The sequence below is a fragment of the Homo sapiens genome, chromosome 6, assembly GCF_000001405.40.
Source record: "Homo sapiens chromosome 6, GRCh38.p14 Primary Assembly".
Taxonomy (NCBI): domain Eukaryota; kingdom Metazoa; phylum Chordata; class Mammalia; order Primates; family Hominidae; genus Homo; species Homo sapiens.
Genome location: NC_000006.12, coordinates 110,087,182 through 110,106,491, shown reverse-complemented (window position 1 = coordinate 110,106,491; position 19,310 = coordinate 110,087,182). Strand labels below are relative to the sequence as shown.

The 19,310-nt window shown below is 36.4% G+C and overlaps 1 protein-coding gene across 4 annotated transcripts in view; it reads left to right on the top strand.

Annotated features, from left to right (window-relative positions):
* The window catches only part of WASF1 (WASP family member 1), a 79,852-nt gene extending 73,179 nt beyond the window's left edge, over positions 1-6,673 (top strand). For all 4 annotated transcript variants that reach the window (NM_001024936.2, NM_001024935.2, NM_001024934.2 and 1 more), the window contains 4 exons: positions 913-1,085; positions 2,935-3,114; positions 4,276-4,904; positions 5,813-6,673. In NM_001024936.2, coding sequence (NP_001020107.1) covers positions 913-1,085; positions 2,935-3,114; positions 4,276-4,904; positions 5,813-5,970 — 1,140 coding nt within the window. In that variant the 3' untranslated portion in view covers positions 5,971-6,673. The remainder of the gene's footprint in view (positions 1-912; positions 1,086-2,934; positions 3,115-4,275; positions 4,905-5,812) is intronic.
* Positions 6,674-19,310: the final 12,637 nt, after the last annotated feature.

The following is a 19,310-nucleotide window of genomic DNA, read 5'->3' as shown; positions in this document are numbered from 1 at the left end:
GTTAGATTTAGGTTGAATTATGAAGGAGGCAAATTCTGTCTTTATCATCTCTCTGGTTCTCCTGTAGCTATCTCTGCTTTCCCTAATCCCTGTATAATGCCATTGTATTGTCTTCTTTGCTAGATGGTAACCCAGTGTTCTAGCTAACATTTGCAAATTGGTGACTGGCAAGCCAGATTATGCCTGTAGGGAGTGTTTTGTTTGCCAAACACAGAGGTTTTTAAATTTTGGAACTAGAGTGCCTGAGATGGACATGTCTGTCTAGCTCACCTCATGCCCCATCTTACACCCGACTGGCTTCATTCATGTATGTTATCCGCTTGGCCGCTTTGGGCGTTTGAATTTGTTACACTTACTCTAGCCCTTTCTGTACTTTCTCCCCCAGTTTTGAATCACTTTTTGTTTTATTGTTTAAAGACAATGTTTTCTGTTGAGTGATATAGTTATTATCGGTTAATTAGATAATTGGATTTTTTTCTAATGTGTTGGCTAGCTAATCAGTTACTTCCCAGATAACATAACCTTAGTAAATTGTTACGTTTTGATTAGGGGCAGACAATGCCATTCATCGTAGAAATTTCAAACTAATGCCTGTGGAGCAAGGGTTCATGAGTCTTTTTTCATCTGAAAGACTTTCTGACCTCAAATTGTATTCTTTAGGCATACTGTTTTGTGTCTGGTGCATCAGTTCAAATTAGGGGTTAAACAAAACATGGCAGGAAACTGGGATTACAGCAGACTGGCTAAGATTTAACTGAATGTACAAGTAAACCATTTCTGTGTTACTTTTACTATATTATGATGACATTGTCTTTTTCAGTGTTGATGTTAGAGTTTAATTTGATTGTTATAACCTCCTTTTTAAAAATTAGCGCTTAAGCATTTGACTTTGTTTCAATACATCTGTTATAGCAGAAAAATCTAGATCGTCCTCATGAACCAGAAAAAGTGCCAAGAGCACCTCATGACAGGCGGCGAGAATGGCAGAAGCTGGCCCAAGGTCCAGAGCTGGCTGAAGATGATGCTAATCTCTTACATAAGCATATTGAAGTTGCTAATGGCCCAGCCTCTCATTTTGAAACAAGGTTTCTTTACTTTTGTTTTTTTTTTTAAATGATAAAACATTGGCTTTATTTGTAGTATCTGTACTTCTAAGTCTTGAGTCCTAAACTGTTGAACAGGCAGACCCTGTTATAAATATAGAGATTATTTCAAAATCCTGACCACTGTGAGCCTACTAAAGTCAGGCCTTGAGCAGGTCATTTTCATACCTGGACCTTAGTTTTGTCATCTTAGAAAGAAGTGGTTGGAGTGGCTGATCTTTAGGGTTTTAGCTTTAGTGTGACGTCTCAATAGCCTCTCGATATTTCAGGCACAGTCTGCTAGAATTTTGTAATAAAAGTTTAGGGTCTGGGGTTTTTTTGAAATACTGTTGATTTATTGCATATAAAATAGGAGTGAAGAAGGGGTTCTGTTTTGTTCCTTTTACTTTCCCCTGACTTCCTTTCTTTGCCACATTGCCCACCTCAGATATATTAGGACTTTCAAACAAAAGTATTGATCCCTTTTGTAGAAAAGATTTTTTCCTTTCTTAGTGGCCAGGGGCCCTAACTAAATAACATACTACCAGCAAACACATTAAACTGGCATCTGTCTACGAAGACACTTATTTGGGTATAGTCATACGTTTGTTTGTTTGTTTTGAGACAGAATCTTGCTCTATCGCCCAGGGTGGAGTGCAGTGGTGTGCTCTCAGCTCACTGCAACCTCTGCCTCCTGGGTTCAAGCGATTCTCCCACCTCAGCCTCCCAAGTAGCTGGGATTACAGGCACACGCCACCACGCCCAGCTAATTTTTGTATTTTTAGTAGAGATGGGGTCTCACCATGTTGGCCGGGCTGATCTTGAACTCATGACCTCAAGTGATCTGCCTGTCTCAGCCTCCCAAAGTGCTGGGATTGCATGTGTGAGCCACTGTGCCCAGCCTAGTCATATGATTTTTTAATGGAAAAGAGCTTAAGGTTTTCTTTTAAGTAATATACATATAAATGATTGGGCCATAAGTGTGCAACATCTTGACCTATTTTAGGAGAAATATACATCTGAGAGATACTATTTATCTGTATTACTGAAAGAATTGACATTAAAAAATTAATAAACTTTAGACATTTATTTCTACTACAGTTGAGTAATTAAGGTACTTATCTGACTCACTAAATACAATAATTTCTGACTTGCTGTGTGCACATCTGTTAAATCCAACTTTTTCCCAAGAATGTACTAGCAAATATTTATAAATCTTAACATGTTCGAGTTATCTAAAATTTTGCTTACATCTAAGTCACATGTTGCTATGTTACTCAGCTATTTTCTGAGTACCCTTGCACCTTTGAAAACAGCAGAAGGACAGAAACAATATAGCTAGCCACCTCTGTGCTGCTAGTATCTGGGAGGCCTTTCTCTCTGGTGCAAGACTTTTAGAAGTCATTTAAGTTTAAGAGCACACCGAGATATACTAGTAGTAGAAAACTCATTTTCCTATTCTACCTTTCTGTCATTGGCATCTTCTTGTAAAGAACTAAATAGAGGCAGATAGCTTTCCACACAATTTGCTAAAAGTTAATTATTTTCTTGTTTATTAAATTACGTACGTAATGCTTTTCATCCTGTGAGTTGAATTAGTATTCTGTTATAAAATAATAAAATAACCGATGGTCATCATAGTAGATCTCTAAATCAACAAGTAAGGGTTATATTGTGAGCAGCATTCTTTGTTTTAAAAGCAGGATTAATATAATACATTTCTGAAAGTTTCTTAAAAATAGTTAAAATATTGGCATTGAAAGGATAAACTTTAAATATTTAATATCTCATGTAGAACCCTTTCCTCCCAATAATTCAAGAATAATTCACTGATACTATATATTTCTTTTAGACCTCAGACATACGTGGATCATATGGATGGATCTTACTCACTTTCTGCCTTGCCATTTAGTCAGATGAGTGAGCTTCTGACTAGAGCTGAGGAAAGGGTATTAGTCAGACCACATGAACCACCTCCACCTCCACCAATGCATGGAGCAGGAGATGCAAAACCGATACCCACCTGTATCAGGTATGTTGGAACAAGCATATGATGTTTTATCTTAGGAGTCAGTAAGCTTTTTCTTTCAAGGACGATATAGTAAGTATTTTTGGCTTTCGGGCCTTACAGTTTTTGTCACAAGTACTCAATTCTGCCATTGTTGCATGAAAGCCACCATAGAATATACATAAACAAATGAATGTGTCTGTGTTGAAATAAACTCTATTTATAAAAACAGGGAGCAGGTCAGATTTGGTCTGTGGGACATTATTTGTAATCTTCTGGTTAGAGCTGACACACTCTCCTAGGAAAATTTAGCTAATAAGAATTTAAAGATTAAAGCCTGTTTCATTTTATTATAGTGTTGTTATCAAGCATATCATGTGCAGTGTATTAAGAAAAATTAAGGATTTTTTGGAATGTGGGTAACAGTCTAAGAAATGGGAACCAAAGATGTGATTATTAATACTAATTTGGTATTAAGGAAAATACTTAAAGAATTTCAGAGAGGATTGGCAGTTGCTTATAATAATCTTTCAGTAAAGCTATTTTGAAGTTTAATCTTGTCAGTTATTATCCAAATGATAAATTTCTAATAGAGAAATATTAGGGAAATTTTCTAATAGAGATATAGAGATCAGCTTTACAATTTTCAGTTAAAAATCCAATTTTCTATCACTGACTCATTTGGTGTTCCATCCTCAGGAAAAGAGAGAGCTGTAAATTTCTTTTTGTGGTTTGTAATTAGCTGTCATTGATTTAACTGAAATAGCATATGATGAGACTTCATAGTTTCAGTATAAATATAGCATTGTATTGGCCACATGTATTGCCACAAAATTGCATTATGATCAATGTTGAGTCATTATAGAGACTCCTGTCAGTATAGAATTGAGCATTTTATTTATTAAAGTAAGCATAAAATATCTGAGTGGATGCCAAAGTTGCATGAGAGAATGAGACTATTTAGACTATTACAAACCAAAGCACCACTCATTAATTTTTTTATTGATGTGCTTTTAGTTCTTTTTTTTTTTCTAAATACTGTTGAAGATGTTAAATTTCTATAGGAGCATGTTATTGGATCCATTTTGATATAATTACTGATAGTCATTTATAGTTTGTGTGGTTAGATTTTCTCTTTAGGCTTTTCTCTTTTAATAACTTGCTAGAATCTCTTTGTCATTTCAGTTCTGCTACAGGTTTGATAGAAAATCGCCCTCAGTCACCAGCTACAGGCAGAACACCTGTGTTTGTGAGCCCCACTCCCCCACCTCCTCCACCACCTCTTCCATCTGCCTTGTCAACTTCCTCATTAAGAGCTTCAATGACTTCAACTCCTCCCCCTCCAGTACCTCCCCCACCTCCACCTCCAGCCACTGCTTTGCAAGCTCCAGCAGTACCACCACCTCCAGCTCCTCTTCAGATTGCCCCTGGAGTTCTTCACCCAGCTCCTCCTCCAATTGCACCTCCTCTAGTACAGCCCTCTCCACCAGTAGCTAGAGCTGCCCCAGTATGTGAGACTGTACCAGTTCATCCACTCCCACAAGGTGAAGTTCAGGGGCTGCCTCCACCCCCACCACCGCCTCCTCTGCCTCCACCTGGCATTCGACCATCATCACCTGTCACAGTTACAGCTCTTGCTCATCCTCCCTCTGGGCTACATCCAACTCCATCTACTGCCCCAGGTCCCCATGTTCCATTAATGCCTCCATCTCCTCCATCACAAGTTATACCTGCTTCTGAGCCAAAGCGCCATCCATCAACCCTACCTGTAATCAGTGATGCCAGGAGTGTGCTACTGGAAGCAATACGAAAAGGTAATTTTCTCAGCTCCATGAAAAGCATTGCTATAGTAGCATTGGAAACTTTCTAAATATTTAAGACAAAAATGTGTTCCTTATCTATAAAATTTTAGGTGATCATGTTTGTGTACAAATGGCCTTTAGAAAGTAAAGCTATATCCAACTTATATTTAAAATTATTTTCCAGAAAATATATCACATTTGACCATTTTATTTTCATGCTTTGTAGGTATCCTTAAAATGTTTATTGAGTGAATGAGAAATTTAATATATCAGACTTAAATGTTATAGAACATTTAATTAAAACCCTTTATATTATGCTTAATGTGTATATTAACTCCTTTAAAAATGGTATTTTCTTCAATGTTAAGGCTGTTCATTTTGGGTATCCATGACACTTGCTCTACCAGATGCCTTTAGAGGAGTGAGTTTCCTCCCTTAGTAACAAAGGAAAGACTTCTCATATTCATTCATTTATTGTCATTATTTCCTAAGCAATGACTATAGGCCAGGCACTGAGCATATAGAATGAATAATAGTGCCTTTCCCTCAAATACAATGGATAATGAAGCCACAGAAAATATATTCAACAATGTTTAATTTATTTGACCATTGAGGTGATAGAAGAAATGTACCACCTCATTAATTTTTTAGGGGGTGGTGAGCAGGGAGGTATAGTAGACCATGATGGATAAATAAACTGTAGATACCTACTGGGATATCTGGTAAGTTTTACCAACTAATAACACAGATAACATAAAGATTTAATGCCTCTCTCAGTATGATTTCTTCACATTCTTTTCTGATCTTTTTATTTTCCTATAAGTATTTCTCATGTGTATTTGATTTTATTCCAGAAATATTAATAATATCTAGTATCTAGTATTTTGATTTAAATGAATGGTTTGGATTCACTGTATCAGGTATTCAGCTACGCAAAGTAGAAGAGCAGCGTGAACAGGAAGCTAAGCATGAACGCATTGAAAACGATGTTGCCACCATCCTGTCTCGCCGTATTGCTGTTGAATATAGTGATTCGGAAGATGATTCAGAATTTGATGAAGTAGATTGGTTGGAGTAAGAAAAATGCATTGATAAATATTACAAAACTGAATGCAAATGTCCTTTGTGGTGCTTGTTCCTTGAAAATGTTTGGTCATTCTAGTGTTTTGCTTTCTTTTCCTTATAATAAATGACCCTTTTCCTCCATAACTTTTGATTTCTAAGGAAAATATTAGCATACATTTCAAACTAAATGTTTTACAGTGGCTTATCTTTTTTTTCCCCCTGAAAAGACTAATTTGGTCAAATAAACCACTAAGTATTAAGCATGGACAGCTGTTGTTAGAGTAGCAGATTCAGTTTTTTGATATATCTTAATTGTGTACTTTGTGAATTTTAATTTAAAGAAAGCAACTGAAATTGAAATCTTGAGGGCAGCTGTGTCTACTAATGAGCCTTATTCCATTTCCTGATGTTTTAAAAGAAGAAACACTGCCTTGATTATACGAATACACTCAGAAAGTACATTTAGCTTGTAGTGTTGAATTCTCTTAAAGGAATGCTTGAATTTTTTCATTATTGTTTTATTGTTTTTATATACTTGCCTTATTTGAATGTTTAGCAGTATCCCCTTCCCACTTATATATTGTGTGATATGATTTTGCTTGCCTATAGGAGTTAAAAACTTTTCCATGTGAAATACTCTGACTTAAACATACATGTAACTTACATAACTGTTAAGAATAACAGTCTGATTTAATAAATGGTTCATTTTAAAAGTTCATCAGTGTTGCTCTTTGAATAAAATGATTTATCATAATTTATCAAATACTGTATGGTAGGCTTTAAATAGTGAATGAAAATTTGAAAAACACTTAGGCTACATAATTTCCTCTTAATTGCACAGCTTCATATTGTCTACTGTGTAAGGTAGCTTTTATGTCATTTTCCCCCTAAGTTCATAAACTCTGTATTTCTCAACTGCTTGTGGTTTTAAATTAAAACCTCAACTTGTCATCTAATTTCAGCATACCTTAATTTCAGTTTAACAGTGTTCTTGAAATTATGTTTTGCAGCCAGGCATGGTGGCTCATGCCTGTAATCCTAACACTTTGGGAGGCTGAGGCTGGTGGATCACTTGAGCCTGGGAGTTTGAGACCAGCCCAGGCAACATGGCGAGAACCCCGTCTCTACAAAAAAAATACAAAAATTAGCCGGGCGTGGTGGGGTGTGCCTTTAGTCCCAGCTACTTGGGAGGCTGGGGTGGGAGGATCACTTGAGCCTGGGGAGGTTGAGGCTGCAGTGAGCTGAGATCATGCCACTGCATTCCAGCCTGGGCAGAGTGAGACCCTGTCTGGAAAAAAAAAAAAAAAGAAAAAGAAAAATTCTATTTTGCAATGATAAAATGAGTTAATGTTTGCACAGCTTAGATTTAGGGGTGGAGGGGAAGCACCATTAATAGCAGATTACTTCATCTGAAGAAACGACTCCATGAAGTTTGGGTAAGTTGATTGTAAAAGTGACTGTGGTCTTCAGCCTTGCCTATATCTACTCCTTTTGCAGTACAATTTCCAGTTCTTCCATCGAGAGGTGAGTTCTGTTCCATGTCCTTGAATCTGGGTGTCCCTGAAACTTGCTTTGGCTAATAATAGCATGTAGCAAAAGTGACATTGTGCCAGTTCTAAGCCTGGGTCTCAAGAAACCTTGCAAGCTTTAGCTTTCTCTCCCTCCATCTCCCTACCTCCCTCTCTCAAACCTGTCTCTGCCATGAGAATAATCCCAAGCTAGCCTGGCTGAAGATCAGAAACCTCATGGGGGAGAGGTATCTCACGTGAGACCGTCATAGACCAGCCAAGCCCAAACTCGCTTGCTGATGGTAGACAGATAAGCAAGCCTGGACAAGGTTCGCCTAGACTAGTCCAGCCCAGCCCAGTCCACTGATTCAAAATTCGTGAGCAAAAATAAATGCTTATTGTCTTACACCTAAGTTTTGAGCTGCCAGCATTATTGTGGCAATAGATAGTTGATATGTGAGGTCACTTAGTAACTTGATAATTTGGAGGAGGCTATTTAGGCAGATAACTAATGACCTGTAATCTTTATAGAATAGGAATAATGAACCAAGTTCTATTGTGGCAATTCAGTTTGGACATAAAAAAATTTTTCTGATAGCTTTAATAAAAGATTTGATTTGCTCTTTTGGGTAGCTTAGAAAGAACAAGAGATTAGAGAGCCATTTGAGGTTCCTTTCCAACCTCATGATAATGTATATTGTCAAATGTAACTCAAGAAAATATGTCACAGTTTAAAGTCTAAGTGTTCTTATGGTCAAAAGGAGGCAACTAGTATATATATTTTATAAAACTCAAATATATATATATATATTTGGGGCCAGATAACCAAAACATAATAGTACTGGTTTTGAAGCAGCTAAGGATGTTACAAAAGGAAATTGGTGAAGATTTCTTAATAATAGAAGTAGACATGTTAATCAGTAAAGCCCTGCAGTGTATATGCTCAGTAGCCTATGATAGACTTTTTTTGTTTTTCAGAATATTTTTGGAAGATGAAAAAGTGCCTGCAGACTAAATAAGCCAGATATGTAGTGTCCATTTTAAAATCAAAATAAATCTTTTAATCCAGATATTTAGCTTAACTTGCTTAGGGAATTTTGGAACAGAACATTCAGTGGCCAATTTTCATACCCTAAGAAGAATGAAAGTTACTGGGTAACAATTCAACCTTCTTGTTGAATTGATTTACTACTCATCAGGGTCATGCACAAGCATAGAATCAGAAAAAAAAAAATGCATTGTATACCACGGGGGAAACAATTGGCTTCACTTGTTTTGGTCGACATCACCCATTTACCTCTATATTATCAAATCCAGTGAATGCTTTTTAATCCTTAATTCACATATTCTGTGTTTATTCTACCTCCTCGAAGCTTTCAGTCTGTTGCCTTTGTTATGCTGATCCTTCTCCTTCTCCTCCTTCTCCTTCCCAGGAGAATGAGACAGGAGGAGAGGGAAATAACCTAGCAGCAGTGGTGTTTGGGATAAAATGCAATCATTATGGAGGAAAGGGAGTTTTTCTGTATCATTTCCTAATGAAGGATAGTCATAAGCTTCAGATTTATAAGACATTTTAAACCATCACCACTGCTTTTCATGACTTATAATCAATCTGGGCAGATGAGATGACTTCCAAATCATTTTCATGTTGTAAATATTTACTGAAAGATAATAATAATGTTCATTTAGGTTGTGTTCTATAAATCATGAAACGTCTTCCTCTATTTCCACTTTTAGAAAGCTCTGCCCCTTAACAACCATCTCACATCTGTATTTTCATGAAGTCTTCTCTAATTACAACTGGAGCTCATATTCCTTTTGAATTTCTTCTTTGTTTTTTTTAGATAGAGTCTCACTCTGAGCTGGAGTGACAGTAGGTCAGAGTCTCGCTCAGGCTGGAGTGCAGTGGCATGATCTTGGCTCACTGCAGGCTCCGCCTCCTGGGTTCAAGTTCCTTTTGAATTCCTGTAATTCTTTTATTATAAGCTTTTTTCAAGTGATACTCATACCATTTTGCATCACAGTTATTTCCTATTTGAGCTTGCCAAATAGATTTCTTGCCCAATAGCAAGGGTGTTGTCTTAAATACGCAGCTCACAATATCTCTTCACATAAACAGGTTCAGAAATACATTCTTTTTTGTTTGGTCCACTAGGCCTCTTAAAATTATTTCTTCCTAGGCACTGCTCCTGTTTAAAATTTCTTTCTCCACTAATCTCAGTAACATAGTTGATTTAAAACTAATCCTGATTTCATCAAAACTTTGTATGTGTGATTTTAATAAATGAAAAGTATGGGAATGATTCTTCTAACCAAAATGTGAAACTTATTAGTGTTTCTGAAGTCATTTCTTAAGACAGCAAAATTGATCATGTGTTTTAATTTCATGGGAATTCTCATGAATTACTTTCAAAACACAGCTTTAAGTTTGTCCTTAGCAAACATAACACTGCTGTTTATTTTTTCATTTTCACTCCACTATATATATCTTGACCCCAGCTTTTTTTTAAAACCACTTTTCCAAACTGAAGCAAATCTAAAATAAATTTAAAGCTCCTAAATAGTTCAAAAATTCCTTTTAGAATTCATTATTTCTGTAATATCTACTTAGGAAAAAAGTACAAATAAACCAATGCAAGATACTAATCATACAGTATCAGGATTTAAAGGATGGCTTTGCTATGTTGAACTAATGAAATGGAATATCAAATTATGGTATTTCCAAGTTGTGCCATATAGCTTATAATTAATTAAAATAATCTTACTGAAGCCAAACAGAATGCATAGGACCCTTGGAATACAAATAAGTTTTTTCCTCCCTTTATTCACTGCTGTACTAAGAGCAAATTTATGTCCTCCATGATTTGGCCCTAGAATGCATCAGTAATCTCTGTTGCTTTTCAAGCCTGACAACCAGGCTCTGAATAAAGAATGAATACCAGCCTTGAATGAACATTTCAGGCACTTTTTTTTAGAAGGCTAGTCATCAATACCTTTTTCTCATTATTGTAAGGCCAGCTGCTGTGTTTTTCCTTTAGAAAAAAAAAACATAACTGAGCATGTATTGAAGTCATCTTTCGCAAGATATTTATAGTTTCTTTTTGTATATTTGTTTAGTGGTAATGATTTTGAATATTTTATAGTATCTGTATAAATGTAATCCTTGTGTATATGTATGTGTTATACTCAAAGACTTTTTGATAGATTTCTTATTTATCCTGCCTTTAAGCTAGCTTTTTCAATACTACTCTTCTGACACCAGTGTCTCCAGGAGTATTAAAATTCCATATCTTCCTTTCTGGCCTGGAAACAATATAAAAGACACAAAAGCCATTAAGTCACAGTATGTTTTCCATTGTAACAGCTTCCAATATTACTTAAAGCGTCCATTTCATTCTTACCTATGCAAACCATGAAATGTTATACTTCTAATTTTAATGAAAATCTATAGGAACTGTTTATACCATTCCAGATAAAGGAGCACATCTCCTATTATTGATGGTTTATTTAATCTTTTTATTATATATTTATTATATTTCTTTTCATTTATTCAGCAGCATTTGTTGATGCCTGCAGAGTTTTGAGACTGCTGGGTATTGGGGCCACAACAGTGAATAGACAGAGCCCTACTTTCTGAGTATACAGATAAATTAACAAAGAACAATGAATGTTGTCAAGTAGCTCATAGGAAAGAGAACAGTCCTAGTCTAGGAAGTCAGGAAAGGCCTCTAAAAGGAAATGACACTGAAGGTTTGAGATCAACCTAGACAGATAAATGTTGAAGTGAGTGTGGAGTCTCCCAGGCAAAGGAAACAGATGCGTGTGAATGTAAGCAAATGCTTGGTGCAGAGCATACAAGCAATGCAATAGCTGGAAATACATTAGAAAGATAAGCAGGAGCAAATCATGAGAGGATCTTAGGAAACATAGTAAGGAGTTTGTATTTTATTCCATGGGCAATAAAACTGAAGAAGTGAGTTACCAGTGCAGCATTTTGGAAAGATAGCTGATGGCTACAAAGTGGTTAATGGATTAGAGAGAAGTCAGCTTGGAGGTCAAGAGACCACTCAGGCTGTTAGAATGGGTGGACAGATGATAGTTATAATGGTGGCAGAGGAGAGAAATAATGAGATAGATTTAAGAGATATTTAGGATGTGGAATATATGAGGTTTGGTAATTGGAGAGGAAGGAGTCAAGGATGACTTCCAGGGCTGACTTACTGTTGGGTGGAACATTAGAGGAGGAACAGGTTTGGGAGAATGGATGATAAAGTTTGGGACATTAGGCAGGGAGAGGATCACTGCCATGGATGGAGGGAGGAATTAATTTTATATTTGTGGAAGGAAACTATGCAGGAAGGAGAAAAAGATGGTATAAGTAGTTAAATTGAAGGTCTGATGCCAAAAAATTGAGATTTATTTTTTCTTTGAAGTAGATGACAACACTGCTTAGGGTGATTGGGGAATAAGAGGAGTGTAAACAATGTTAAGAAAAGTAGAGATGGCTTAACAATAGTCATTGTGAAAAATGGGAGAACTTTCCAAGGAAATAGGAAATTATCACAATATTGAAGCCATTGTTAAGGTTGCTGACAATGAATTTATAGTGGATCCAATTTACCATGTATGATTTTTTTCAGCAGTCTGAAGACAATTTCCAGAAACAGTTGAATTTGCACAGAGTTTGGGGTTTGAGTGGGGTGGAAGGACTATCTCTTAGGAAGATTGACCAATCTCCTTAATATCTGAATCCCACAATTAAACTCCCATGTAGAAGTTCTTCACATGTAATTTGCTGTAATGCAAGTCTGATCTTGTTTTATGAAGTCCATTCACAGGCTCTCCTGAATTGTCAAATCATGCAGATGACTCTTCCTATCTTTTTAAGACTTTTCATTCCACTCCCCTAGACTCAACGTCATCTTGGTTTTCTTTCTACTTAGGTATATTATGCAGTTCCCCCTTTTTTTCATGTTAACACCTACACAATTTCTGTCTTATTCCCATTTTAACATGCTCAGCTATCCTTTATACCACTATCTTTTAAATCTAAAAATCTTACTTCTAAGGATTCTGTCAAAGATAATTCTGCCTTGAAAGTTATGTAATTTGAAACAAGGAAGCAGCAAAGGGATTTGACTTTTTGTCTGTCCCTTTCGTGTCTGAGTTATCTGCCTAATTTACTCTGTGGGCAGGAATCCTTTTTCCTTTAAAGAAATTTCCTTCCACTCAAAAAACAAATAATTATGCTCGATTCTATTGTGGTTTTTAGAGCATATTAAAAGTAGGCCATATTTTTAGGTTTGATTTTTGGTTTGGTTAATTTTCTACAGCTCTTTGGCAATAAACTTTTTACCTTAGCCAGCCATCTCAGAAATGTCTGGCATAGGGTCTCAGCAAAAGAATGTGGATAATTCAATGTAAACTACGTATTAAGAAAATAACTCAAAGAGAAGGGCCTACTAACCAAATACCAGGCCCTTCATCTTGATTTCAAAAATTGATTCATTCCTTTTGCTTGGTGGTTTAATCTTTGTATTATGGAACATGCATACAGAAAAGTACATAAAATTTTCAACTCAGTAATCTATTATTACAGTGTAACCACCATCCAGGTCAATAAATAGAATATTGCCATCACTCCAGAAGCGCCTCTTGTGCACCCTCCTAATCACCACCCCTTTCCTAACTCCAACCCTAAGGATAGCCACTATCCTGATTAATGGTAATCACTTGTATTTAGACGTTTGCCATCTCAGCATGTGTTCCTGAATACTATAATTCAATTTGCCTCTATTTTGGACTTTAATTAAAGTGAATCTTTAGGTACGTGCTTTTTATTGTCTGACTTCTCTTAAAATTTTGTGAAATTTAACCGTGTTGTTACATGTAACTATTTTGTTCCTTTTCATTGTTTTATAGTAGTCCATGGTATAAACATACCACAATTTACCCATTCTACTGTTGATGAATATTTTAGTATACAATTTGGGGCTTCTTACAAATAATACTGCTGTGAATATTTTTGCATGTGTTTCTTGTTCTTTTGCAGGGATTTCTGTTAAGTGTATGCCTAGAGGTGGAATTACTAGATCATAGAATAAGCGTGTTTTCAGCTTTAGTGGATAATGCCAAAAATGTTTTCCAAAAACGTTGTACAAATTTATACTCCTATCAGCAGTCTGAGAATTCCTGTTGTTCCACATCCTTGTCACCCTCTGGTATTAGTCTGTTTCATTTTAGGCATTCTAGTATGCAATATCTTAGTGTGACTTAAATTTTCATTTTTCTGATTACTAGTAAGGTTGAACATCTTTTTATGTGTTTATTGTCATATCTTCTCCCTCTCTGTGGCTTATTTCTTATTTTAATTTTCTTTGAAATTACTAATTTAATATAATCCATATTATCCAATCTTTATGTCCTGTTTAAGAATTGTATTTTTATGCCAAAGTTAAATGTTTCTCCTATATCATCTTCTGGAGACTTTGTTGTTTTACCTTTCACATTTACTTCTATAGTCCATCTGGAATTAACTTTGTGTGTGGTGTGAGGTGGGAGTTAACTTTCAGGTCTTCTTTTTTCCAGTCAAGACAGGCCCATTTATTGAAAAGATTGTTCTTTCCTCACTGCTCCGCCGGGCCAGTTTATCAAGAATACATAAATACAGGCAACAAATAAATATGCATGTATTATTTATGTTGATATACAACTGTATAATGTTGATGTATAGATACAAATACATGTCTGTTTATAGACTTTATTTTTATAACAGTATCACAGTTTTTTAATCGTCACAGCCTTAGTATAAAAGCTTAGTTTGGTAGCTTACAATGAGACCCTGGTGTCAATATCCAGAAAGCAAGCCTGTCCACCTTATTGTTTTTCTTCAAGATTATTATTCTTGGCTCCTTGTGTATCTAACAACATTTTAGAATCCGATGGGCAGCTAACAGGACATTCAGAGACAGCAGTAGCCATATTGGCCTTGGTAAGCATGGGAGCTCATTATATAGCCTTTATTTCTGTCACTGTGACCACTCTGTTCATGTGCCCTCATGCAAGTTTTCTTGGCCTTAACAGAGCACACCTGCTTCAACTGAGCATTTAAATGTCTCTAGAACTCTCTGATGAACAGATCTTCAGTCAGCTGCTCAGTTTTATCTGCTCTTCCATAGCCAGAAAGAAGGGTCTCGTTGTAAGCTACCAAACTAAGCTTTTATACTTAGACTTTAACTGCCTGTTAACAGCTCTCACTTTCTCATTATCCCTCTCCAGAGCATCATAGCAACTTAGCAATAACCAGCAAACCCTACTGTCCTTGTAGGCATGGTTTTCCCCATTTCATTCAAATGCCTGAATCATTACACATGCAAGGGCATTCTCACCAGTATGTTTTTCCAGGTTACCATTGATGAAATCTTTAGCAATTTGGCCATTGCCTTGTGCCAGGGACTACCCATGCCCCACATACCACTCAGGATGACATTCTCTTTGCCCACCAGATAGTAGAGAAGCCAGTCCAATATTCTAACACATGTTTTTAGACTACTTCTGCCACCACCTGTATTATTAGTGTAGGCCCTTGGAGATGCATATGCCAAGACAAGGATTAGATGTGTAAGAGAATTATTGGAGGGAATGCCTATGACGAAAAAAAGGGAGGGGACCAGAGAAAGCATGTAAAAACCTTCCAATTGGAAAGGAGGGAAAAAGGAGGATTGGTTGGAAAGTGTTGTAGACTGCAGCGCTATTATAAGAAAGTTTGGGCCAGGCATATGGGGAATCCTCAAGCCAAAGTTGCCTGTTAAAGGAATGGGCCAGTATTACTGACCCTGCTGTGCTCATTGGCTGTGAGTAGCATAAGGTAAGCTTGGTCATAGCATAAATGTGGTAGTAGACTCAGAAGGCTGGCAGCTGGGACCATCAGTCAACTATGTTTCCCTCAGCAGGAGATATGAATGGTACATTTTCATGGCCACCACAGATTGCCTCAGTGTCTTTGTTAAGAATCAAATGGCTGTATGAGTATGAGTCTATTTCTGGGCTCACTACTGTTCCATTGATTTGTCAGTCCTCTGCCAGCACCTCAGTTCTGATGACTGGTACATTTTGTAAGTCATGGTCAGGTACTGTAAACCCTCCAATTTGTTCAAGATTGCTTTAGAGATTCTAGATCCTTTGCATTCTCAAATGAATTTTAGAATTAGCTTAATTTGTTTAAAAAAATTCATGGGGTTTTCACTGGAATTGCATTGAATCTATAGCTCAACTTGAAGGAGTGTTGTCAGCTTAACAGTATTGAGTCTTCCAGTTGATAAGGATGGTTTATCTCTGTTTAAGCCCTCTTGAATTCTCAGCAGTGTTTTGTAGTTTTCAGTGTAGAGATTTGGCATGTCTTCTGTTATATTTTTTCCTAACGTATTTTATGTTTTTGACAGTACAGTATTTAAATTTTAAAATTTCACTTTCCAATTGTTTGCTGTCAGACAGAAGTATAGTTGATTTGTTTATTGACTTTGTGCCCTACAAACTTGCTAAACTCACTAATTAGTTCTAATAGTTGTTTTGTAGATTCCTGTAAATTTTAATGTAAACAATCATACTGTGTGAATAGAGGCAATATACTTTGTTTCTGATCTGTATATGCCTTTTATTTATTTTTCTTATTCTATTACCATGGCTGGGACTTACAGTGCAATATTGAATAGGAGTGATAAGAGCAGGCATCCTTGCTTTGATCCCATCTTTAATGAGAACACATTCTGTATTTCACCATTAAGCATGATATTAGCTGTAGAGTTTTTGTAGATGCCCTTTATCAGTTTGAAGAAGTTCTCTTCCTGTCCAAATTTGTTGAAAGTTTTTATGTTGATTTGGAGTTGAGTTTTGTCAGATGTTTTTCTATATCTATTGAACTGATGATATGCTTTTTCTCCTTTTTTATTAATATGATGGATTACATTGATTTTTAAACATTAAATCAACCTTGCATTTCTAGATTAAGCCCTTGCTTGATCATGATCTTTTAAATATATTACTGGATTTGATTTGCCAATATTTTATAAAGATTTTTGTTCTGCTGTTTAGGAGAAATATTAGTTTACTTTTTGGAATGTCTTTTTCAGATATTCCTAGTGGTATTACGCTGGCCTCATAAAAGCGTTCCCTCCTCTATTTCCTGAGAGGTTGTGTAAGATGAGTATTTTCTTTTTTAAATGTTTGACAAAATTCACCAGCAAAACCATCCAGGCTTAGAGTTTTGTTTATGTGATGGATTTTTATAAAAGACTTATTTAAAAGGCATCAGATTATTTGGATTTTCAGTTGTGTCTGTTTCATCCAAATTGTTTATTGGCATAAAGTTATTCATAATATGTTCTTATTGTCCTTTTAATGTCTATAGAATCTGTGGTGACAGGAGTTTCTTTTTATTTATTGTTCTTAGAATCCAAAGGACTTCTTGAATCTGCAGCTGGATATCTTTCATTAGTTTTGTAACATTCTCAGTCATTATCTCTTTAAAAAGTTATCTGCCCTTCTTTTCCTCCTGAAATTCCAGTTACCCACATATTAGACTTTACTACTTTCTCCTTTGTCTCTTAATCTTTCTTCTATGTTTCCCATCTTTTTGTCTGTGTTTCATTTGGATATTTTCTTTTGGCCTCTTTTGTAATTTACTTAATCTGTGTCTAACCTCTTATTATACCTATTGGCCAAGTTCCTAATTTCTGTTACGTTGTTAGCATTCCTGGAATTTCCTATTTTTAAAAAGCTACTAGTTTTCTGTCGATTTTTAATCTTATATTTTATGTCTTTGAACATTATAAGGATAGCTATTTTATAGTCTCTGTCGGATAATTCCAATATCTGGGGCCCCTATTCAGTAAGATTGAATTGCAGCCTTTGGAAGGCCTGTCTGTTTCTGATTCAACCTTAGTTGCAGGGTGCAGCCCTTTAGGGACTCAACCTAAAGTGAGGAGGTTCACCTCACCTCCCACTTTGGCCAGTTCTGTACTTTAGCTCCTATCCTCCTAGCACTCTGAGTGTGTCAGAAGTACTGCTTATTTTTTGAGTAGTCCTCTCAGGAATCATAAACTTATCCAGGAGAAACGTGATCCCCAAAATTGAGCTATCAAATGCTCCCAGATCTTGGCCTGGTAATTCTTTATTATTTGGATATCTCAGGTAGTTTCAAGCATATACCTTTAATAGTTTGTGCAGCTTTTCTAATTGTCCTCAAAAGATAGTAGATCCAAATTACCTAGTCCATCATTATCAGAAGAGATTAGCCAGACCCTTTATCAGGAAAAAGGAAATTAATGTGAAGCCCAGTTTTGATGCTTATAAAAAGTGGTATTAATAGCCAAATGTTTTTTCTACCCTGAGTTATAAAAAATGCAGGCCAGACACGGTGGCTAACGCCTGTAATCCCAGCACTTTGGAAGGCCAAGGCGGGCAGATCACCTGAGGTCAGGAGTTCGAGACCAGCCTGACCAACATGGAGAAACCCCATTTCTACTAAAAATACAAAATATTAGCCGGGTATGGTGGCACATGCCTGTAATCCCAGCTACTCGGGAGGCTGAGGCAGGAGAATCGCTTGAACCCAGGAGGCAGAGGTTGCAGTGAGCCGAGGTCGCACCATTGCACTCCAGCCTGGGCAACAAGAGTGAAACTCCATCTCAAAACAACAACAACCAAAAACAGTTTCCAAATTTCAACTGAGTTCGTTAAGACCACAATTAAACCGTTTGTTGCATGCAGCTGCATTTAAAAACATATCAAAACAAAAAAAGAGAACTGTGAACAATTCAGCTTATTTTTAACTAACAAAAGAAAGTGTTCAAAAGCATAGATACAGAGGCTTACATAAGTGGAGACAGTGCATCCCTGTAGTATTTTGAGGAATAAGAAAAAGCAAGTGACAGACCTGTCAAATGGTTCCCATTTGGCTCCCAATTTACTGCTCGGGGACTTACAGGATGCTATTTGAAGCTGAACGACTTGCAAAACCTTCATCAAAAATCAAAATTCCCCAGTGGCACTTTACTTTGAAGCATTCTTGCTTAAGGGAGGGAAAGTATGTGTGAAACATTTATTTGAACTTCAGTTCTATTTTAACTTTTTAGTGACTGTAAAATCTTCGTTGATTACAAATGATACCCTAGCAGGTATCACTCATCATACTTCTGCTAGAGGTTAGAGACTCTTTCTCATCTTTCTGCTCCCAGTTCTTTGTACAATACATGTTCATTAAAACAAAATATTAGCACTCTAGAGTCTTTTAAGAAATAAATCATTCTGGATAAGTCTCTTTTTCAGGTAATGAAGGGTTAAAATCTTGCATACTGTAAAAGAAGTGTTAACTATTATCACCCCCACCCACCACCACTATCTATTATTTTTGTGCTAGGCACTGTCCGTCCTAAGCAGTTTACATTCTTTCCCTCATTTAATCTTTTTAACATTAGGATAAGGTAGGAAAAGGTATTATCTCCATTTTGCAGAGGAGAACTGAAGTTTGGAGAAGTTGTAACTTGGCCCATGTCTCACAGCTTCTATGGAGTAAGGGCTGGATAAGGCCTGAATTTTAATCCAGGTCTGTCTGACTCCACAGCACATGTCTGAAGTCAGTGTTGTTACCGAAAGCGACTATGAATTTCTCTGACTTTTAAAAAAGAATATTCTGTATGTGATTTCCATTTAAAAAATGATACTAATGTAGCATTTATTAAAATGTATTATAACCCCATCTCTACTGAAAATACAATAATTAGCCCAGCATGGTGGCCCACGCCTGCAGTCCCAGCTACTCGGGAGGCTGAGGCAGGAGAATCACTTG